Source organism: Homo sapiens, chromosome 7, assembly GCF_000001405.40.
Source record: "Homo sapiens chromosome 7, GRCh38.p14 Primary Assembly".
In the NCBI taxonomy this organism is placed as follows: Eukaryota; Metazoa; Chordata; class Mammalia; order Primates; family Hominidae; genus Homo; species Homo sapiens.
Genome location: NC_000007.14, coordinates 64,498,688 through 64,523,570, shown reverse-complemented (window position 1 = coordinate 64,523,570; position 24,883 = coordinate 64,498,688). Strand labels below are relative to the sequence as shown.

The 24,883-nt window shown below is 36.0% G+C and overlaps 1 protein-coding gene and 1 pseudogene across 10 annotated transcripts in view, besides 1 other annotated feature; one reads left to right on the top strand and one right to left on the bottom strand.

Moving 5' to 3' along the window:
- ZNF680 (zinc finger protein 680) overlaps positions 1-24,502 on the top strand; it is a 64,003-nt gene extending 39,501 nt beyond the window's left edge. For 7 of the 10 annotated variants that reach the window (NM_178558.5, XM_024446743.1, XM_047420309.1 and 4 more), the window contains one exon: positions 1,071-3,693. In NM_178558.5, coding sequence (NP_848653.2) covers positions 1,071-2,410 — 1,340 coding nt within the window. In that variant the 3' untranslated portion in view covers positions 2,411-3,693. Of the gene's footprint in view, positions 1-1,070; positions 3,694-9,404; positions 9,542-22,197 lie in introns of those variants that run through there. The other 3 variants (XR_428175.5, XR_001744687.2, XR_007060018.1) reach the window with 2 other exon arrangements.
- Positions 13,714-13,914: a silencer, noted in NCBI's record as "peak6531 fragment used in MPRA reporter construct". NCBI's record gives its function as "represses an SCP1 promoter by STARR-seq MPRAs in K562 erythroleukemia cells {active_cell/tissue: K562}" and the evidence as "EXISTENCE:reporter gene assay evidence [ECO:0000049][PMID:32103011]".
- Positions 21,842-22,746, bottom strand: HNRNPCP7 (heterogeneous nuclear ribonucleoprotein C pseudogene 7; annotated as a pseudogene).
- Positions 24,503-24,883: the final 381 nt, after the last annotated feature.

Here is a 24,883-nt window from a genome sequence, read left to right as displayed (position 1 = left end):
TACATATATATTTTACATATGTATATATTTGGATAATTTTCTGAAAGAGAAAGAATGTTATTTTATTGTTTTATTTGATTCTTTTTTGTCTCTGATTTTCTCTCTGTCATCCTTGGTGTCTTGTTGATTTTTGTATTGAAATGCTTTCACTTCCTTCCTATTTTCTTTTGTATATCTATACAGATATACAAAATACTTTCTTTGTGGTACCTTGGGGATTACATAAAACCTCTAAAGGATACAATATACATTATAATCTGGTAGAAAAATTAACTTCCCTTGCATATAAAAGTTCTATTTCATTACATCTGCCCTGAACTTTGTTATTAATGTTGCTAATTATTTCGTTTTATGTTGTATATTAATAGACATTTATAATACTTTCTATGACTTTATCTTTCAAATTTTAGAGAATAATTAACATTTTGTGCACCATTATAATAATGTTAAGGAATTCTATTTGTATGTGCATATCTTTTTCATAAAGTTATGTATTTTTATATAATAATGTGTTGTTTTCTGTCATGTTATTTTCAGTGGAAGAAACTGCTTTCAGCATCTTTTATATGTAGGGAATTTGCAGTGCCAATATACTTTTTCAGAATTTGGTTATTTTGGAAGTTTTTTCTTTTTTTTTTCCATTTTGTAGGACAGATTTGCTGATGGTATTATTCTCATTTGATATCTATTTTTTTCATGACTTTGACTATATCACACACTTCTTTTCTTGCCTGCAAAATTTTCTTGACAAATTCACTGGTTATTTAAAAAGACTATGCTTGTAAATGACATATCATTTTTATACTGCAACTCACAAGATTCTCTTCTTGTCTGTGACTTTTGAAATTGTGTTTATATATGTGTTTGTTATAAATATCATTGTGTGTATCCTAATTTGTTGAGCTTCTTCATTTGTACATAACTTTTTTTTTTTTTAACTTTTAGGATTTTTTAGTTATTTATTTTTGTATTTTGCTTATGTAGTTTGTGTAATTTTATAAATTTGATATGTAAAATATATTCATCTGAGTCTAGGAAGTGGTGTAATTTGTTACTTTTATGTCTTTCAGTTATATATTCTCATTTCACTGAAGACCTTTGGCCAGAGCATAGCATAAAAGATTCTTTTCAAAAAGTGATACTGAGAGGATATGGAAAATGTGGACATGAGAATTTACAATTAAGAATAAGTTGTAAAAGTGTGGATGAGTCTAAGGTGTTCAAAGAAGGTTATAATGAACTTAACCAATGTTTGAGAACTACCCAGAGCAAAATATTTCAATGTGATAAATACGTGAAAGTCTTTCATAAATTTTCAAATTCAAACAGTCATAAGAAAAGAAATACTGGAAAGAAGGTTTTCAAATGTAAAGAATGTGGCAAATCATTTTGCATGCTTTCACATCTAACACAACATATAAGAATTCACACTAGAGAGAATTCTTACAAATGTGAGGAATGTGGCAAAGTTCTTAACTGGTTCTCAGAGCTTATTAAACATAAGGGAATTCATATGGGAGAGAAACCCTACAAATGTGAGGAATGTGGCAAAGCCTTTAACCAATCCTCAACCCTTATTAAACATAAGAAAATTCATATTGAAGAGAAACCCTTCAAATGTGAAGAATGTGGCAAAGCCTTTAGTTTATTCTCAATCCTTAGTAAACATAAGATAATTCATACTGGAGACAAACCTTACAAATGTGATGAATGTCACAAAGCCTTTAACTGGTTTGCAACCCTTACTAACCATAAGAGAATTCATACTGGAGAGAAACCCTTCAAATGTGAAGAATGTGGCAAAGACTTTAACCAGTTTTCAAACCTTACTAAACATAAGAAAATTCATACTGGAGAGAAACCCTACAAATGTGAAGAATGTGGCAAAGCTTTTAACCAGTTTGCAAACCTTACTAGACATAAGAAAATTCATACTGGAGAGAAATCCTACAAATGTGAAGAATGCGGCAAAGCTTTTATACAGTCCTCAAACCTTACTGAACATATGAGAATTCATACTGGAGAGAAACCCTACAAATGTGAAGAATGTGGCAAAGCTTTTAATGGGTGCTCCAGCCTTACTCGACATAAGAGAATTCACACTAGAGAGAATACCTACAAATGTGAAGAATGTGGCAAAGGCTTTACTTTATTTTCAACCCTTACTAACCATAAAGTAATTCATACTGGAGAGAAATCCTACAAATGTGATGAATGTGGCAATGTTTTTAACTGGCCTGCAACTCTTGCTAATCATAAGAGAATTCATGCTAGAGAGAAACCCTACAAATGTGAAGAATGTGGCAAAGCTTTTAACCGGTCCTCACACCTTACTAGACATAAGAAAATTCATACTGGTGAGAAACTCTACAAACCTGAAAAATGTGACAATAATTTTGATAACACCTAAAACTTTTCTAAACATAAAAGACACCATCCTGTTGAGAAACCCTAAAAATGTGAAGAATTTGACAAAGCCTTCCAATGATTGTTACACTTGCTTGTAGGTAAGATAATTTATATTGGAGAAAACTTTATAAGTGTAAAGAATGTGACAAAACTTAACCAATACTCACATCTTATTGCACAGGAAAGCATTTTTACTTGAGAAAGATTGTACAAGTATAAAGAATGTGAAAAAGTCATTGATATCTTTTCACATCTTACTCAACACCAGAGTTTATACTTATTAAAAGCATTATAAATGCAATTACTGTCAAAAGAAATTTCAGAAAACATAACACTTTAAAGTGAAGAAGCGTGTTTATTTTGAAGACAAACATAACAAATATAAGGAGCATAGGAGGGTTGTAGTACCTTTACTTGTATTACAAATCTTATTGTACGCATTTTGTACTAGAGAAAAACACTGAAGCAGTTGCTCAAACTTTGTTCAACATCAGGGAATTTATATTGGAGAAAAATCCTGCAAATGTAATGAATTTGGAAAAACATTTTTTTTCAAAAACTACGGCGTAGAAAACATGAATTTATATTGAAATGTGTTTTTGCAGATGCAGTAAGTATGAAAAATATTTAATCCAAAATTGAGTCTATGTAAATATTAAATAATTTACAGTAGAAATAACTAAGGCACTGACACTTTAGACATTACACTAAAACAGAGTGTTGAGTATAAAAAAATCTATAAGTTGTTAGATTATTTGTAAATAACTTTAAAAGGAGTAGAAGATTCTTTGGAGAGTTATAATTACATTGAAAGTATACTTTTTTTCTTGAAAAAATTATGGCTTATTTGAAAAGTAAATAATGATGAAATTCAACTCTCAAATTACTTTATTTCATTCCTATTGTATTCACATGTGAAAGCATGTGATAAATTGTTGCTGTGTCAGATATAGGAGAGATTCTTTTTTATTAGATGGGCATTATTTATGGTTTTTTCTGTGGAAGAGTATGGGCATTAAAATGTAAGGTTTATGATGAAAATCTAAGTGGAGAGGCCCTGTTAGTTTACTTTTCATATTGAGTGATGCATGAGGTAGGTGTTTGGAGTAATATTCTGCATCATAGAGAAAAGCATTTTTAATTTTACTTTAAATTAAATGTAATTAAATTACTAGTGAATCATTTTACTAATTGTACTTTTATGCTATAAATGCAGTACATTTGAAAATTTTTAGATTATGTATAAGCTTAATTTTATAATTAAACATTTCTTTAACATGTTAAGACTATTGTGCATTCAATGAAGCGTTATTATGCCATTAACTTTAACCTTTTTCACTTTACTCAAGGAGGGAGGTAAAAGAGAGTAACAATATGTTATTTGGTCATGAGATGTTAATCTTTCTGTGCCTGGCTTATTTCAACTAATATGCTGTCCTCCAGATTAACTGATGTGATCAAAAATAATAAAATTTTCTTTTAGATTCCACATAGCAAAAGCAAGAGTAAGAGAAAAGAACAAATCTGGAGGCATCACATTACCTGACTTTAAACTATACTATAAAGCTTTAGTCATCGAAACAGCATGGTGCTGGTATACAAATAGGCACATAGACTATAAACGTGTGTGCAAGTATCTTTTTTCATATAATGCCTTTTTTTCCTCTGGATAGATACCCAGTAGTGGGATTGCTAGATCAAATGATAGATCAACTTTTAGTTCTTTAAAAAAATCTCCACACTATTTTTCATAATGGTGCTAATTTACATTCACACCAGAAGTGTAAAATTGTTCCCTTTGCACCACATCCCCACCAACACTATATTTTTTTATTTTTTAATTATGGCCATTCTTGCAGGAGTGAGGTGGTATCATATTGTGATTTTCATTTGCATTACTCTGATAATTAGAGATGTTGAGCAAGTTTCCATATGTTTCTTGGCCATTCGTATATCTTCTTTTGAGAATTGTCTATTCATATCCTTAGCCTACTTTTAAATGAGATTGTTTTTATTTCTTGCTGGTTTATATGAGTTTTTTGTAGATTCTGGATCTTAGTCCTTTGACAGATGTATAGATTGTGAATATTTTATCTCACTCTGTGGGTTGTCTGTTAACTCTGCTGATTATTTTTGCTCTGCAGAAGCTTTGTAGTTTAATTAAGCCCCATCTGTTTATATTTGTTTTCGTTGCATTTACTTTTGGGTTCTTATTCATGAAGTCTTTGCCTAAGCAAATGTCTAGAAACGTTTTTCCAATGTTATCTTCTAGAATTTTTACTGTTTTAGGTCTTAGATTTATGTCTTATGTCTATCTTGAGTTTATTTTTGTATAAGTTGTGAGATGAGTTTCCAGTTTTATTCTTCTACATGTGGCTTGCTAAACATCCCTCCATTATTTGTTCAATAGGGTTTCCTTTCCCCACTTCATGTTTTTGTTTGCTTTGTCAAAAATCTGTTGGCTGTAAGTATTTGGTTTTATTTCTGGGTTCTCTATTCTGTTCCATTGGTCTATATGCCTATTTTTATATCAGTACCATGCTGTTTTTGTGACTATGGCTTTATAGTATAAAGTTATGTAAACTTTAGGATTGTCTTTTCTCATTCTGTGAAGAATGATGTTGCTATTTTGATGGGAGCTACATTGTATTTCTAGATTGCTTTTGGCAATGTAGTCATTTTCACAATAGTGATTCTACCAATCCATGAGTATGGGATGTGTTTCCATTCGTTTGTGTCGTCCGTGATTTCTTTTAGCAGTGTTTTGTGGTTTTCCTTGTAGAGGTCTTTCATGTCATTGTTTAGGTATATTTTTAAGTATTTTTTTTCCAGCTATTGTAAAAAAAAGTTGCATTCTTGATTTAATTCTCAACCCAGTCACTGTTGGTGTATAGCAGAGTGACTGATTTGTGTACATAAATTTTGTATCTAGAAATTTTGCTGAATTCACTTGTCAGTTCTGGGAGATTTTTGGAGGAGTCTTTATGGTTCTTTAGGTATACAATCATATCATCAACAAATAGTGACAGCTTAAATTCCTCTTTGGATGCCCTTTATTTCTTTCTCCTATTTGAGTGCTCTGGCTAGGACTTCAGTGCTATGTTAAATAAAAATGGTGAAAGTACACATCCTGGTGTTGTTCCTGTTTTCAGAGAGAATGCTTTCAACTTTACCCTGTTCAGTGTTATGTAGGCTGTGTGTTTGACATAGATGGCTTTTATTACATTGAGATATGTCCTTTGTATGCAGATTTTGCTGAGGGTTTTAATTATAAAGGAATGCCGGATTGTGTCAAATGCTTTTTCTGTGTTTATTGAGATGATCATTGTTCATAATTCTGTTTATTGGTGTATCACATTTATTGACTTGTATATGTTAAATCATCCCTGCATCCCTGATACAAAACCCACTTGATCATAGTGGATTACCTTTTTGATATGTTGTTGGATTCAGTTAGATTTTTTTTTTTAAAGGATTTTAGCCTCTGTGTTCATTAGGTCAGTCTGTAGTCTTCTTTTTTGGCTATGTCCTTTTCTGGTTTTGGTATTAGGGTGATGCTGGCTTCATACAATGAATTATGGAGGTTCCCTCTTACCGTGTCGTGTGGAATAGTGTCAATAGGATTGGTACCAATTTTCCTTTTAATGTTGGGTAGAATTCTGCTGTGAGTCTGTCTGGTCTTGGACTTCTTTTGTTGTTAATTTTTTAAATTACGATTTTAATCTCACTGCTTGTTATTGGTCTGTTCAGGGTTTCTGATTTTTCCCGATTTAAGCTAGGAGGGTTGTACATTTGCAGGAATTAATTTATCTCCTCTAGATTTTTGTGTTTATGTGTGTAAAGGTGTTCATAGTAGCCTTGAATGATCTTTTGTATTTCTGTGATGTCAGTTGTAATATTTCCTGTTTTGTTTCTAATTAAGCTTAATTGAATATTCTCTCTTTTTTTCTTAATCTTGCTAATGGTCCATCAATGTTATTTATCCTTTAAAAAACCAGGTTTATGTTTCATTTGTCTTTTTTTCTTTTTAATCTTATTTAGTTCTGCACTGAGCTAGGTTGTTTCCTTTCTTCTGCTGGGTTTGGGTTTGGTTTGTTCTTGTTTCTCTAGTTCCTTGAGGTGTGACCTTAGTATATTGTGCTCTTTCAGACTTTTTGATGTAGACATTTAAAGCTATGGACTTTCCTCTTAGCACGGCCTTTGCTGTATCTCAGAGGTTTTGATAGGTTTTGTCACTATATCATTCCATTAAAATTTTTAAATATTTTTTGTCTTGATTTTATTGCTGACCCAATGATCATTCAGAAGCAGTTTATTTAATTTCCATGTATTTGAATGGTTTTAAAGGTTTTTGTTGTTAACTTTCAATTTTATTCCACTGTGGTCAGAGAAAGTACTTGATATCATTTCAATTTTCTTAAATTTATTGAGACTTGTTTTTTGGCCTATCATATGTTCTGTCTTGGAGAAAGTTTCACGTCCTGATTAATAAAATGCATAGTTTGTGGTTTTTGGCTAGAATGTTCTGTAAACAGCTGTTAAGCCCATTTGTTCCAGGGTGTAGTTTAAATCCGTTTTTTCTTTATTGACTTTCTATCTTGATGACCTGTCTAGTACTGTCAGTGGAGTATTGAAGTCCCCCACTATTATTATGTTTCTGTCTATTTAATTTCTTAGGTCTAATAGTTATTGTTTTATAAATTTGGGAGCTTATAAAGCCCCATTTTCCATTTTTACAGTTTGGGCACTCAGAATATTTGGGCTGTCTCCCAGGTCCTACAGGAGCTATTTGCTTCCTTTAAAGGGACTGTGAATTATCCTGCCTTTCCTGGTATATTCCTAGAGTAGTTCTATGTAGTTTTAGCAATGCAACAAGATTTAACAGGTTTTCTTTTGTTTGAGATAACACTTAGAGTTTTTTGTTTTATTTTTATGAAAATTAAAAAGTACGAACACAAAAGTGAGGTTGGAGTGAAAGTTTAATAAGCAAAAGAAGAAAGCTTTTTGCTAGCAGAGAGGGGTTTCTGAGTAGGAGTTCCCCCTGTGAGGCTGGGGTTCAGGGTTATTATGGACTAGGAATAAAAAGAAATGTGCTTAGTTTGTGGGCTGTTTTGGAGATCTTGTGACTTAGCTTGGCCTGGGACTAATTAGAAAGCTTGGGCTGAGATCTTGGCCCAGGACCAATTAGAAGCTGAAATGATGATATATAGATGCTGCTTAGCTTGGCCCAGGACCTATTAGAAGCTGAAGTGAAAGCTTGGCCTGGGACCTTGGCCTGGGACCAATTAGGGTCTGAAATGATGATTTATAGGAGCCGCTGTATAGTTTAAATAAAGGTGAGTGCCCACTGGAGCCCACTGTGTTTATGCCCACAAAAGGAGAAGAAACTTTTTGTGGAGCCCTCTGATTATATAAAGGATAAAGGCATTTTATACCAGGCCTTGTTTTTTATTTGAGTGAGCTAGAGGTTTGTGCAAGTTTTTATGTAAATAGGCTGGAGGGTTTTTTTATTTGTGCAGTTGTGGGCATGTTTTTAGGCACAATACTTTGTGCCTGTTTTTTTATTGGTGCCTGCAGCTTGAATTTTTTTTTCCAGGCTGCATTTTACATTATATGGGGTGGAGGCAATGACTCATGGGCTGGGGACTTTTCAGAGACCTTTCTGTTGCTATTTACCTAAGGCAAGCAAACTTCTTTCAGTCTCCACTCAGGAGTGGAAACCCTAACTATTTTTATAGAGATTAGGCATTGGATTTTTTTGGACTGCTTTTTGCTTGAAAGGGGCATTGTGTAGGGAACAGTAGCTAGGATTTTTTAGGGGGGGGTGCTAGTTTAAGGGTTTTTGGAAGAGGTGCACATTTATGTGTGTGTGTATGTGTGTGTGTTGCACTGATGCAAACAACTATATTGTTGTAAGTCAAGAATAATTTAACTAGTTTTTAGATTTTAGAGGAGCTAGGCTGAGAGAAAGAAATGCATTTTAAATTTTATTTACAGGAGTGTACCTTGCTTGTTAAAAGGTTTTAAGAAATTCTTACTTACTTTGAAAAGCAAAATAAAGATTAGCAATTTGTGTGTGGGTGTGTCTGTGTGTGTGTGTGTGTGTGTGTGTGTGTGTGTGACAGAGTTTTGCTCTTGTTGCCCAGGCTGGAGTGCAATGGCGCGATCTTGGCTCACTGCAACCTCCGCCTCCTGGGTTCAAGCGATTCTCCTGCCTCAACCTCCCAAGTAGCTGGGATTACAAGCATGCGCGACCACGCCCGGCTAATTTTGTATTTTTAGTAGAAACTGGGTTTCTCCATGTTGGTCAGGATGGTCTTGAATTCCCGACCTCAGGTGATCCATCTGCCATGGCCTCCCAAAGTGCTGGGATTATAGGCATGAGCCACCACACCCAGCCAAGATTAGCAATGGTTTAAGCAAAAGTTAAAAACATTGCTTTTGTTTTTTATTAGTTTAGTTTATTTTGTTAACTTTTGTTTTGCTTGATATTTATAAATATTATAAGTTTTTATTATGAGTTTTATTAATGAGTGGTGAGTTTATTTTATTGACATTTATAAATATGAGTTTTTATTATGAGTTTTATTATTATAGAATTTTTTTATTATGAGCTATTTATGAGTTTTGTTTTGTTATGAGAAACCTGCATTGGAGAACATTTGTTAAAGTTTTACAGCTAATTGTAAACCATTTTTTGAAGAAAATTAAAATAACAATTGTTTATAAATGACAAAATGTTTAGGGTGGTTACAGTTAGCAGCACAATTGACAAAGAAATGTGGTTATTTTTGTGGCTTATAATAACATAACCTTAATTGTGATTGATGGTGCACATTTAGACATTAGAATCTTAGATATTTTATATGGTTTTGGAACATATGTTAATGATACTTACTAAAATATAACCTGAAGAAGATTAGATATTAATTTGGCAATTTTATATACCTAAACTTGTTAAATAATTTTGTTAACCTCTGTTTTGGATGCCCCAGGAGCCCCTTGCAGAACTCAAGAGCTAGACATTAGAAAAGACAACTTTGAAACTGAAATTTGATCTTGTGAAGTTTGTTGAAGATGTTGGAGGTTTAAAACACTTGATATTCTGAAATAAAATTTTAAATTACCGTAAGTTATTTGTTTTGCTAAAATGATGATTTAAAATTTGAAAAAGCAAAACCTTTTACTAGCTCTTATTATTACATAAAAATTTTGATTGGCCAGGTGTGGTGGCTCACGCCTGTAATCCCAGCACTTTGGGAGGCCTAGGAGGGTGGATCATGAGGTCAGGAAATCAAGACCATCCTAGCCAACATGGTGAAATCCCGTCTCTACTAAAAATAAAAAAAGTAGCTGGGTGTGGTGGCAAGCACCTGTAGTCCCAGCTACCCAGGAGGCTGAGGCAGGAGAATAGCTTGAACCCAGGAGGCAGAGGTTGCAGTGAGCTGAGATCACGCCACTGCACTCCAGCCTGGGTGACAGAGCGAGAATCTATCTTAAAAAAAAAAAAATTTTTAATTAAAAGAAAGAAAGCTAAATTTTACTTTTGCATACTGTTAATGTTAACCCCAATTTTAATGAAACCTTATAAACAATTTTCTTCAATTTTAACTAATTAGACCATGAGGTGAGAGTTTTATAAACCTTTTATAACCCTTTACAAATTTTGCTAAGAGTTGATTAGTGCTTTAATAAAACCTTGTGTTTGTATTTTAATGCTTAATTTGAAAAACTATATAATATCCTTTTGAATTTTAGTTGATATGTTTACATACAGAATTTTTTTGCAAGATTAATTTTTACAATTCTTTTTTTTTTACAATTTGCTTAAAGCTTTTGCTTTAAGACTTTTTTTATTTTTAGGCAAAACGTACTTTTAAAAAAGATTTTACTAAAAACACATTTTACTGCTTTTGCATACCTTGCATGTAAATTTTTTTTAGTAGTTTTAATTATATGTTATAATGATAACTTTCAGCAATTTTTAACTTGAATGTAAAACCTGGTAAATTGTTTTAGTTATGTTCTAGGTGCAGATGAATTTTGACTTTTTTTAGCATAGTTAGGGGCACATACGCTTTTTGGCCTTACTCATTGTGAAGCAGGCAAATAGAACAGTTTTTAAAGGCCAAAGGAGCAGTTTACAACCTTAAAACATTTAGCAAATTTAATATTTGGCCAGAATAATTTTGATTACCTATTTACATTTTGAAGACATTTATACTTTATTAATAAGTTTTAAGGCTGATTTTATTTTTTAAAGATTAAAGTTACATAAACTGAAAGGTACCACAGCCTTCATTTTAAAAAAATTGATTTAAGCACTTATTTTTAATTAGAGCTTTTTTAAATAGACATTACACACACAACACATGTATAACCACACAGAAAAAAAAAAGATTTAGTAGTTACAAGATTTTTTACTTGCCAGTTTTTAACTGGATTATTGGCCTCTGGGTAAAGCCCTTTAGGAACAAGGCTAGAAATACAGTTTTTATTTACAGGGCTAGGAATACAGTTTTTAGGGATTTTATGAGAAAAATTTTTTTTAAATGAGATTTGTGGTGTTCTTGTTTTTAAGAAGTTTTGGGCCACCAGAAATTATTTTAGGACCTTTTATGAATGGACCAAGAATGGCAAGGCACAGTGGAGAAAAGTCATTTAGTTGACTGAGAAGAAATTTTTTTTTTTTTTTTTTTTTTTTGCTGGAGACGGAGTTTTGCTCTTGTTGCCCAGGCTGGAGTGCAATGGTGCGATCTTGGCTCACTGCAACCTCTGCCTCCCGGGTTCAAACGATTTTCCTGCCTCAGCCTCCTGAGTAGCTGGGACTACAGGCGCACGCCACCAAGCCCAGCTAATTTTTGTATTTTTTTTTTAGTAGAGAAGGGGTTTCACCATCTTGGCCAGGATGATCTCGATCTCTTGACCTTGTGATCCACCTGCCTTGACCTCCCAAAGTGCTGGGATTACAGGCATGAGCCACTGTGCCCAGCCCCTTAAGAAACTTTTTTTAGAAAAGATTTATGAAGAGAAAAACATGAAACCTTTTAAAATATATTTATGGCTTGGATATTTATTTTTAATAGTGCTTTTTTTTTTTTGGAGACCAAGTCTTGCTCTTGTCTTCTGGGCTGAAGTGCAATGGCACGATCTTGGCTCACTGCAACCTCCGCCTCCCAGGGTCAAGTGATTCTCCTGCCTCAGCCTCCCGAGTAGCTGGGATTACAGGTGCCCACCACCATGCCCGGCTAATTTTTGTATTTTTAGTAGAGACGGGGTTTCACCATGTTGGCCAGGCTGGTCTCAAACTACTGACCTCAGGTGATCTGCCTGCCTTGGCCTCCCAAAGTGCTGGGATTACAGGCATGAGCTGCTGTGCCTAGCCAATAATGCTTTTTAAGAATTTTTTTTTTTATTAATTAAAACTTCACAGAGAATATAAACAGTAATTTTACCATTTTTTTCCTAGTTTGCACCACTACCTGTTTACAATTATGTTTAGGTTTTTTTAGAGGGTTTTTTTTAAAGAAAGTGTCTGGGTTTGGGCAAGGGCAAGGTTTTTTTTTGTTTGTTTGTTTGTTTTACTGAAGATTTTTTTTAGCAGCAAAGCTTGATATTTGAGGCGGTGATGGCCAGAGACTATTTTTTAGAGGACAACAGTTTTGCAGTACTGTGTGAGGTGTAAACAGTTAAGTTATTTTCCATGGTTAGCCCACTTGCTGTTGAGTCAGAGCTTGAGCCTTAGCCAAAACTTTTAGGGCTATTTTCTTTTTTCTTTTGATACATAGAAATTAAATACCTGAGGGCATCAGCCCTCAGTCTTCCCATAGAGACTGTGCTTTAGCTGGTTAAAAGTTTTTGTGTTTTAGGTTTTATTTTATTTTATTTTTTTGAGACGGTGTCTTGCTCTGTCACCCAGGCTAGAGTGCAGTGGCCCAATCTTGGCTCACTGCAACCTCTGCCTCCTGCGTTTCAGCAATTCTCCTGCCTTAGCCTCCCAAGTAGCTGGGATTACAGGCACCTGCCACAGTGCCTAGGTAATTTTTGTATTTTTAGTAGAGATGGGGTTTCACTGCGTTGACCAGGCTGGTCTCGAACTCCTGACCTCGTGATCCACCCGCCTTGGCCTCCCAAAGTGCTGGGATTACAGGCATGAGCCACCGTGCCTGGCCTGTGTTTTAGGTTTTTAAGTTAGGAAGTGAGTTTTATTTTTATTTTTATTTTTATTTTTTATTTTTTATTTTTTTTTTTTGAGACGGAGTCTCGCTCTGTCGCCCAGGCTGGAGTGCAGTGGCGGGATCTCGGCTCACTGCAAGCTCCGCCTCCCGGGTTCACGCCATTCTCCTGCCTCAGCCTCCCGAGTAGCTGGGACTACAGGCGCCCGCCACTACGCCCGGCTAATTTTTTGTATTTTTAGTAGAGACGGGGTTTCACCATTTTAGCCGGGATGGTCTCGATCTCCTGACCTCGTGATCCGCCCGCCTTGGCCTCCCAAAGTGCTGGGATTACAGGCGTGAACCACCGCGCCCGGCCGATATTTTATATTTTTTACCTGCTAGAAAATTAAAAAGAACCTTAGTGCCTTTTTGAAAGACCCCCTCAGTTGGGGCACAGAGGAAAGTGTTATTTACATACTGCAAAGTTTTAAATTGAGGCTGAGCAAAATTAGATTTTTGGAAACAGCCTGTTTTTGCAACTAATTTTTTTTTAATATTAAGGGCTGCCTGAATAATAAACCTGTTTTTTTTATTGAGTTGGGATACAGGTAGGTGTTTTTACTAAAGCTTTTTTTAGGCTATTTAAAAAGGTGGCGGGGTGGGGGTGCGTTATTTGGTTTTTGATTTAGCAAGGACAGTTTAGAGTTACTACGAGGTTTGGTTTTGGTTTTTTGCAAGCTTTTTAAAATGCATATTAGAAAGTTTTTTTTTTTTTTATTACGTATTTATGGGATCACCAAGACTTTAATTAGGTTTTTAAGGGGCATTGTTTTATTTTAATTGGGAATGGGGATCTTGTTCTACCCTTTTTTCCTTGGGGCTTTTTTGTTATTGTTGTTTTTTGACTGGCTAGGTCTCCAATTTGTAAGATGGCTGTGCCCTTATGCAAGAGAATATAAGTCTTTTTTTTTTTTTTTTTTTAGAGTTTTACGGTTAAAGGAGCTTTAGTAATTTAGAATACACTTGAGGGGAGTATAGACTGCAGATGGTCTGTTGCTCATCTAGAACAAGAGGGAGAAACAAAGCTTTCCTTAGTTCCTTTTCTCCCTTTTGTGTGACCCAGGGTGGAGAGCAAGAGAGAAGGGGCATCCTCTTTCTCCTCCTTCTCTCTCTCCTTTGGGTTCAGGCTACCATGATAGGTGCTGCAACATGGATACAAGCGTGACCTTTACCCATGTTCCTGGAGAAGCTAGTCGGCAGGATTTAGTTACACTTACCTGCTTAAAATTCTAGCCTTTTGCCCTGCTGGATTTCTAGACCCACTCAGCCCAAAAGGCTCCCAGGGTACCCCAGATGTTGGAAGAAAGTATGTAGTAGTTGGATTTGGGCAAGATTTTTTAATGAAGGGAATGTTTTAATACTATTTTTGGCTTTCCTTGCTATGGCCCCAGTGAAGAATTAAAAAAGCACAAAGTAAGACTGATTAACTTTTATACATAAAATTTCTGTCTCGTTTGAATGCCAATGTAATTGAATGCAGAACAGATGCCTTAAAAGTGTAAAAATTGAATGGCTGCCTTTCTTTGTTGGGGACAGTATTGAAGCTAAGATTTGTCTTATTAGGATGGCTTCCTCCTGGCTGTTGAAAGTGGAGTTTTTCTGTTTACACATAGGATGTGGGGCCTGATTACTGATAGACATAAAAGGGAAAACAATGGAAGATGAGAGGTTTTGGGCAAAGGGCTGACAAGGCTCCCCATGGAGAAAAATTCTATTCCATTATGTGGCACTGCAGGATTAGAAGTGTTAGGTAAAAACTCTGACTCCAAATTCTTTTTAGGCAAAAGTTAGGTTTGGGGTTGGATAGGCTATTATTATAGTATGCCCCCCAGCATAAGAAAATCAACTGTTCAAACTCATTGGACAATGCTGAACTTTTACATGGAGGGAAGAAACAAATGGAGAGGGGGAGGGTATTTACATGAGGTGACCTTCCCCTATACAGTGCCATAAATGTCTATTACTGGGGACAAAACGCCCTTACTAGAAAATTTAGACTGAAATCCCAAAGTCCCCCTATCTCAAGGAATCACAAAAATGGCAATTTTTTAAAGTTACATTCCTAAGACACTGACTAACTCTACCCAACAAGATTATATCTTTAGGTTGCAGAAACATCCACGACATTGTATACAAAGAAGGGATAGGAGGCATAATAGCCACCATAGAAAAGGAAAATGCAATAGTGGGGACTAGAGTTAGTCCAAAGGCCTTTAGATAACACTGAGGTATAGCCCAAGCCAGAAAATTTTAGTTGCCCTAGGACCCCCTTTTAATTCCATGTGATGGCTTAGGTCCCCTGTGAAAAGTAGCTAGATTGGAATAGACAAGAAGTCCTAAAAATGAAAGTAAAGGGTTAAAGTTAAACCACGTTGTAAGTGACTGATTAGTAATTCCCGTCTGTTTCATTTTTAGTCACGTAGCGAGTGTACAGGAAATTTATTAGCTCTCATTTTTTATTCTGTTAGATCATGATTAGTGTTAAGCCTGAAAACAAGCTGGCCACATCAGTAGTTCGTAACCCATGTTAATTCTAATCAGTCAATCTGGGGCTATAATAGTAGTTAAATGTTTTTAATACTATCCTTGGCAGATTCACATACAGCATAAATATAAATATTATGGTAACATTTCTCATTGAGTACTGTTCTTTAGCACTCCAGTAAATTTAAATGTAGTTTAAAAATACATATTCATGCTTGAACCCAGGAGGCAGAGTTTGCAGTGAGCTGAGATTGCACGACTGCACTCCAGCCTGGGCAACAGAGCAAGACTCTGTCTCAAAAAAAAAAAAAATTATGTATATATATATATATATATACATTTTAAAATATATATATATTCAAATAACTTGTTTCTCTAACAAGTGAAGGAAATAATTTACTTAGACATTTAGAGAGAATTTTACTCAAAACAGTAGCTTTAGAGCCTTTTAAAGTATTTTATTATTTTGAACATTAAAAATCAAGAAAATTTATTCTTGAGTGTTGGGTTCATACTATTCATAACATTAAAAGTTTACTAACCTACATCACTAAATGAGCAAACCAGTCGAAATAAAAAAATGTGTGTGTGTGTGTGTGTGTGTGTGTGTGTGTGTGTGTGTGTGTGTGTGTGTGTTTCCTGGAATTTTAAGATGAAAAAAACACTTTTTTCTCTGGCCCAATTCTTAAAGTTTATTTCTCTCTTTTTTCTAAGAAAAGTATTAATAGTATTTTTAAATGGCAAATCAGAGTTGTATACATTTATGGGGTACAATGTGATATTTTAATATACCTATATAATATGGATGGCTCACACCTGTAATCCCAGCTACTCGGGAGGCTGAGGCAGGAGAATCACGTGAACCCGGGAGACAGAGGTTGCGGTGAGCCATTGCACTCCAGCCTGGGTGACAAGAGCGAAACTCCGTCTCAAAAAAAAAAATAGAATAATTGAGTTGAATAACATATGTATATCAACTCACTTACCTATCCTTTGTGGTGAGACATTTGAAATTTACTCTGTTATTTTGAAATACACAGTATATTGTTGTTTACTATACACAATATATTATTGTTTACTATAGTCCCTGCTGTGCAATAGATCTCAAAACCTATTTACCCTATTTGAAACTTTGTACCCTTTGATGAACAACTCTCTATTTCCTTCCAACCACCCCCAGTCTCTGGTAACCATTACTCCACTTTCTACTTTTTTGAGTTAAACTTTATTAAATTCTACATATACACGAGATTATGCACTATTTGTTTTTCTGTGTCTGGCTTATTTCATCTAGCATAGTGTCTTCTAAATTTATCTTGTTTCAAATAATGGGATTTACCCTTTCTTGACGCTGAATAGTATTTCATTGTTTATACCACATTTTTAAAAGAATTAATATAAATATGTATTTGTCTATTGGTTGAAAAAGTCATGTCTTAGGGAAAAATATTTCTGTGTTAAAGCATGTATTAAAGTAATTCAGCATATAATTATCTTATTAAAATTACCTAATTTCTACTGAGTACTGACCATAACACTATATATGTGTTAATAAATTTAATTCTCACAGTAACTTAATAACATAGGTATCATTATTACCCTCATTTTACCAGAGGAAGAAACAGAGCTACTGAGAGAAATGACTTGCTCACAATAGCAGAGCCAATATTAAACCACAGGCAACTTTGTCTGCACAGAGGTAACACTCTTGAGTACAACAATAAAAAACTTCAAACAGAAAATAATTATTTTAAACTCATTTTAAATAAAAAATTTTTAGAAATTGAATAATTGGATACATTTGCATTGTTATATCTGTGCATGAATGTATAAAATGGTATATTAAAGAGAAATAATTTAAGCCAGAAAAAAAATTAGTTAATATTTGTTGTGAATAAAATTGGAAAGTAATTAATTATTATTTGCAGGTATTATCTTTGTTTACTTAGATAACAAAAGAAACTAAAAGACTAGGCTGGGTGTGGTGGCTCACGCCTGTAATCCCAGCACTTTGGGAGGCCGAGGCAGGTGGATCACAAGGTCAGGAGATCGAGACCATCCTGGCTAACACGGTGAAACCCCGTCTCTACTAAAAATACGAAAAATAGCTGGGCACCTGTAGTCCCAGCTACTGGGGAGGTCGAGGCAGGAGAATGGCGTGAACCCGGGAGGCGGAGCTTGCAGTAGCCGAGATGGCGCCGGCGCCCCTGCACTCAAGCCTGGGCAACACAGCAAGACTCCGTCTCAAAAAAAAAAAAAAAAAAAAATCTAAAAGACTATTTTAAAAGTCTATTCAGGTGGGTGGGCAAAATTCTAACATGATCCTCAAGATTCCAAGCCTGTTTCACACCTGCTGTGTAATCCTTTCCTCTTGAGTGTAAAAAAACTGTAACTGTGGTGTGAAATTACTCATAAAATTAGGTCACTAATGTGTTGCCTTTGTGGCCATCAAAAGGGAGATTATCCTGATTGGGCTAAACTGAATCAGAGGTGCTTTTAAGAGAAAGGGACACAAAAACACTTCAGCTGGCCTGGAAGTAAGTGATTTCTAGGTGGGCCATGCTGTAAGCTGCTTATGGTGGCCACGTGGCAGGAAATATATTTGTATATTGTCATCATTCCTGCCTCCCACATGGTGCTTCCAGTAGAGAGGACAGAAGGATCTCATGGCAGAGGAAAAAAAAAAAGGAGTCTAATTTATGCAAAAAGAAAAAAAATCACCTCTCATCTGAGATAGCCTAAGATAAACAGAGGAGACAACACTGATTACGTCAATGGGAGGAAGAAACAACCTGGATGAAAGGGCTCACTGGCACTATGGAATGACATTTAGAAAGCCGTAGTGAATGATCAGCCTCTGGAACATCAATAGCCTACCAACAAGGGATCTCATTCTTACTATAATTAAATCAGCATGTCTGCACCATTCTGGTAGCCCAGTTTTACACTACTCATTACAAAAATACCATGGAGACTAGTGTGTACCCTCCTAGAATTGAACTTATTATGAAAAAGCATACCTAATTATTTAAATAGTTTTTACAATTGAAATACCTTGAAGACATAATAAATTTATTAATAATTGACATCTAATTACAGAGGGTTTTACTATACTGTAATACAATATTGAGCTTTAAACAGTATGATTATGTCTAGAATGCATGGAGTTATATATGTAGTTTTTCTTAGTTTAACATGATAAAAGTAACAATTAGATGAAACATTTGAAGTAGAATAAAATTAATCAAAACCACATTTTTTCAATGGCTTGGCATAATTGCCATGCTTTTTGAAATGGCCTGATTACTAACACGGAGCAAAGACATGATTTTGGCTTTGCTCGATCATTATGTTCTTGACCTTTTAAAATCTAAAATTCTGGCTAAAGGATTTTCAAAGGGAGTATTATTTAGATGGCTCCCTCGGGTTTCCAAGGCAATACAAGAATTTTGATAGGCAGAAAAATGCATGCTACATAACACATTGCTCTTATCTGATTTGCCTTAACACTGAAAGATTGAAGATTGCAAATCTAGTCTCTCAATTTAGAGTAAATTGACAAAAAATTTATTTCCCAGCCACACAAATCATCATATAAAACTAATGGGTAAAAGATGCCATTAGCTGCCAAAAACTTGTATGACTAGATTCAGGAAGCATCTGGACATGCAAATAACAGCCGATTAAATTAAGACCCTAATAGGTGCATGTGGAAAGCATTTATGTGCAATGTGGTGCACTTCCTCTTGGCACCTTTTTCTGTGTCTTTGCAGAGATACCAGTTTTTTCTGAGTGACTCAGGGTGAATACTGGGCACTGAGAATGCTGTATTCAGAGTCATTACTGTGAACATGGTTAATACATTTCTTCCATATTATAAAAAGTATGAATCCTACTCTGCCTCACAAAGGCTTTTAGTAAAAGATTGTTTATAGTAATTTGGATTCATGGAAAATTTTCACATTCCAGATAAATCAGAAACAGTTAAACGTAAACCAAATTCCATAAAACATATGAATGAGATAAAATCTTCTTAGCTAAAAAATTGTATATTATCAATAAATTTAGGGAAAAATAGAAAACCAGTACTTTAAGCCAAATAACAGTGTTTGGCACGTGAATACCACCCAAACAAGTGCTCTTCATCATCATCGTTAAACAGCGATAGCAGCACGTTCTTTCCTGGCACCAGCTAGCCTGTTTTCCACTGATATAAACGGAAGAAGGCATTGAAATAGTGAAAGAGGGTAATATAAATGGAATAATTATTTAAAATGCAACTTTTAATAAAAAGCATTTGGTATTGCATAACTATAGATGAGACTATTAGTATGAGGTCATAATAGTATTCTATTGACAGAATAACTTCACAATATTCTTATTTAAAATAATATTTTTCTGCTGTATATTTGCTATCTTTTGGCCAAATATTACCCGAGCTCAATAGAAATAAAAGTAATATTTTACCACAAGCACTTTATTATTGATGCATATACTTATTTTGTTTAAAATATGTTAGCTTTTTAAAGAAGATTTATGATTTTTTTAGTGTGTTTTTATTGCTAGGAAGTGGCTGTCCTGCCAGGAAACTGCTATTCTCAGCTCTACCCACATTGACTAGTAGTGAGTGGAAGTGATGTGTGGATAAGACGCAAATATGTCTTCTCTGCATCTTGTTTTCATCCATTGGCTAAAGAAAAAGGAGGATGCAGATAGAAAATGAAAGAAGATACAATCCCTGAAAGATTAAGTCTTCTTAAGCAGACAAAAGACTCACAGATGGCCAGGTGCAGTGGCTCACGCCTGTAATCCCAGCACTTTGCGAGGCAAGGTGGGCGGATCGCCTGAGGTCAGGAGTTCGAGACCAGCCTGACCAACATGGTGAAACCCCATCTCTCCTAAAAATACAAAAATTAGCTGGGTGTGGTAGCGTGTGCCTATAATCTCAGCTACTCAGGAGGCTGAGGCAGGAGAATCGCTTGAACCCAGGAGGCAGAGGTTACAGTGAGCCGAAATCGTGCTGTTGCACTCCAGCCTGGATGACAGGTGAAACTCCTCAAAAAAAAAAAAAAAAAAAAAAAAGCCTTCCAGTTGATTTCTTAGGTAATAGCAGAATCTGTTTTCTCTGTAGCATAAGAATTCTTGATTTACCACCTTTAGAGGTACTGAACAAAACTATATGTGTGCTGAAATATGGATTTATTTATAAGCTCATTAGAGACTAAGTCATGGCAACACATTATAGTTCATTATTTTTGTCTAAATTCTTGTTGAGCCGCATCCATCTATATATAATACTAAGTTGCTAACAGCTTCTTTATACTAAGCCACAACTCATTTTACCTGGTGGTTTCATTTGAAATGTATGAGCTGTATTATATAACATTCAAATAAGTAATAATTTAATTCAATGACTATGGAAAGAAGAGTCATACAGGCACACTGATAGTGAATTGGAATCTGGCACCTGACACTGATTAACAGGTTGAGCAGATTCAACTAGACCTAGTGCCACTGCACTCCAGCCTGGGAGACAGAGCGAGACTCCATCTCAAAAAAAAAAAGTTCACAGACGATGGGGATGTGAGCAAAAAATATATTATTCTAAGCATGTGAAATTTTAGTGTACAACCTGCATTGCCTTAACAGATATATTATTCGGTTTTGATTCTTCAGGATATATGATTCAATCCTCTGGTGAATCAAAACTGAGAGGAGAATAACTTACGTGTTAAGGTAGGAAATGTAGGGAAGACACTGTTTTTTTCCCCCAAATTTCTGGTTTAATAAAGACTTGTTTATTTTGAGAAAAATAGGTCCCAAACATCAGGCTGTTAACAAAATAACCCACAGTATCAACCTTAAAAAGCAAATCGTAACACTATAACACTATTTTTCTAGAGGATGCATTTAACATGGCAACTCATTCACAAAAATACATTGTTATATTTGTGTTGAACTGCCCCACAAATCACACCTATGTGGGGGTGTAACACACATACTTCTAACTCAGCTGCTTTTAGGAGCTATGCAACTAAATGAGATTGCTTTTGCAGTTAGGGAGGCGACTACTGAAACTGTATGAATGAAAAAAACTACTTTCTGCATAATGAGATAATTTTGGAGACAGTTGATAAAAACCGTAAATCCGGCCGGGCAAGGTGGCTCATGCCTGTAATCCAAGCACTTTGAGAGGCCGAGGCGGGTGGATCACGAGGTCAGAAGTTCAAGACCAGCCTGGCCAACATGGTGAAACACCGTCTCTACTTAAAATACAAAAATAAATAAAATTACCCGGGCTTGGTAGCACGCGCCTGCAATCCTAGCTACTCCGGAGGCTGAGGCAGGAGAATTACTTAATCCAGGAAGTGGAGGTTGCAGTGAAGCAAGATTGCACCACTGCACTCCAGCCTGGGCAACAGAGCAAGACTCCATCTCAGGAAAAAAAAAAAAAAAAAAAAAAGAAATACGTCCTTTTTATTGTTAAGTCATAAAGAGGTTTCAAAATTAAAAGCAAAAACTACAGGGTAAGACTTAACAAAACTACTAGGAGTGTCAAAGGAGGTGAAATGGGACCTAGGTGCAGGGCAATATGAATTAACATGGGAAAGACAAGGACAATGAGCATGTGCTGAAGATACTAGAGAAGAAGATCTGGTAAAAAATTTGATCTTAGAGAAGCACCTAGGTAAACAAATATTGGGATAAGATTTCTAACCCCCACTATGTGCTTAAGAGTCATTTTTGCCATTGGCGCTGTCTCTGTCATCCTCTCCTTCCTCAGCCTCTTTTTCATCCTTGGTCAACTCCAGCTGGCCATCCCCCACCTTCATTATCATCATCATCCAGTAGATCCCCCTCCTCAGCAGAGTCATCTGCGCCCCCCTCAGACTTCACATTAATCTCATTTTTCTTCACTGAGCTCCTGCTCTGTTCCTCTTCTCACTTACCGTTCTTCATCTCTACTGCTTGTTTGCTCTGTTCCTTTTAAATTTTTCCAGGTTTTCCAGGGGTGAATCCACCTTTTGTTTTATCTGGGTCAGTTCCTTCTTAATGGCCTAAAGGTCATCTCCTTTCAACTTTCCAGACTTGGAAGATCCCTGCTGTCCACTCTTAGAATTGAAGCCACTTTTGCCCCTTCATGAGGTGTTTTCTGAAACATGCTGACGTTTCGAGGGCACTACAGCCTAAGCAATAGGAGGAGGAGGAGGAAAATGTGCTGGGCAACTGTACATCCTTTCACAATAATCCCGTTGAAAGTCATAGTCCAAGTCAAGAGAGGAGCTGAATAGAGGCGATGGAGAAGGGTGTTCTGTTACTGACCCATACATCGCTGCAGATCATTTCACACCTGCTTTTCCTCCGTTCACTTTTGGCTCTGCAGCCAGGTTAATATCTAAAACCTGGCCAGCAATTATTCTGCCCTTCTCTCTTCTACAGCAGCCGGGGCATTTCTCTCATTCACCTGTTGAACAAAGGCAAAGCCCTTATGAACTGAGCAACCCACAATTTTGCTGCACATCGAAAAGATTGCCTCCACATCACACTTCTTGACCACAAGAGTGTTGAGATTTCCAGTGAACACATGGGAGTTCATGGAGCGAGGATCTGTTCTGTTGGTAACATTGCTGGCCATTGTGTTTGATAAGGTTCCCACAAAGCCAAAAACAGGAGGAAGGAGGGAGAAGAGATTCGATTCTGAGTCTCCTACTCCCAGGTTCTACGTGGAGAAGCCAACTGCTGCTCGAGGTCGGCAACGTGGCCACAACCGCTCAGTCTTCGTCTCTTCACAAAATCAGCCCCATTACTTCTGACCAACATCTCCTCCACTCCCAGCCCCAGACAATCATCATTCTACCCTATGCTTCTATGAGTTTAAACCTTTTTATACTCTACATAGAAATGATATTATGAAAGTTTTTTTCTGTGCCGTCTTATTTAGCATCATGTCCTCCAGGTTCATCAATGTTGTTGCAAATAACAAGAGTTCCTTTTTTTTCCCCATAGGGCTGAGTAGCATTCCATTGTGCAAATATATCACATTTTCTTTATTTATTAACCTGTTGATGGACACTTAGGTTGCTTCCATACCTTAGATATTGTGAGTAATCCATTTCCTTCCTTTTCTCTCATTTGTTTTTATATCTTTTTTCCTTTTTTTATATCCAGGAGTATTTTACTTTTAAAATATAAATTATGAATGTTAAATGCCTTCATTTGAGCTTCATTTGGGTCATTAGCTGTGTTCCCAGGGGAAATTATTTTACATCCTTGGTATAAGAATTAAAGAGAAGAGAAACACGAAGGGTGGCTTGACAGTCAACAGGGACAGGTTTATTTTGAATAAACCTAGGGGGGCAGCTGGCCGAGTTAGGTCAGAGCCACACTCTTTTACAGACTAAAAATTTTTAAGGATTCAGGGTGGGAGAGTTTATCGGAGGCTTGGACTGCTTCTGTGTCTCTTCGTTGTGCTTATCTGGGAGGGAGAGTTGTGTGTCTGTTCCCATACATCTTTCTGCAGCTGCAGGCACAGCCCCCCAGTCTGCTTTTAGCTTCCCAATCTTAGTGCACCCGAAGGGAAAAGAATGTGCCTATTAAGGCCCACTGTTTTACTGGGGCCCATTGTATGAGGGTGAAGATTGGCAGTTACTCAAGAGACTTTCCTTCCACCTCCCTCTGTGCCCGAGCTGGCTGTTTTTTGTTTGTTTTGTTTTTTTGAGACGGAGTCTCGCTGTGTCACCCAGGCCGGAGTGCAATGGCGTGGTCTCCGCTCACTGCAACCTCCACCTCCTTGGTTCAAGCAATTCCCCTGCCTCAGCCTCCCGAGCAGGCGCGCACACCACACCCGGTTAATTTTTTGTGTTTTTGGTAGAGATGGGGTTTCGCTATGATGGCCAGGCTGGTCTCGAACTCCTGACCTCGTGATCTGCCCGCTTCGGCCTCCCAAAATGTTGGGATTACAGGCGTCAGCCACCGTGCCCACCTGAGCTGTCTTACCTGTATTTTACTGTCTGCTCTTTCTGGATGCTTGTAATTAGAAGAGAAGTGATTTCCTTGAAATGCATGAGGCTAGAAAGGGAGCTAGAACTTAAAGTGGCAGTGTTTGTCTGAGTTGATGGTGCTCCTGCTCTATCACTTGGAGCTTCAATCTTCATTATTAATAAAAAATACTATTTCCCCCAGGGCTGTTTTAATTCATACATGGTAGCTGTAAGTATTTTTCACTGAAAGCCTTGTCTGAATATAGTACAGTAAATATTTAAAAATAAGAACAAAATCATTTATATTTCAAAGATCCTTTATTATAGTTTAGTGGGTGTATTTTGTTATATTTAATGTATTTATTCTTTCCAAAAAATGCCAAAATAAAAATGTTATTATTTTTTCTGGAATAACAGACTAAGAGTTTCTACATTGTGACTTTGCTAATTTTTGCATATGGTGTTAACTGCTACCTTTGAATTTAGGTTGAATTTTAAACCCACTGTTGTTTACTTTGTGTAATATTTGTTTCTTTTGGGGAATCAAATATATTTGATATGGACTGTTTGGGGTAACCTAATTTCTGGGCTTAATTTCTGCTTTCTTTCTGTTATTAAATCTGGAATTTTAGAAATTACTAGGATTCAAATAAAGTTGGTTTGGAATCCAGCAACAGAAAATCCCAGAAAAAAGTGAAGGACACAGCTACCGGATAGTGCCTTTCAGTGAGATATATACATGCAACAGAGTTCAGTGAAATTTATAAAATTATTGCAAGTTTGTTGAATTTA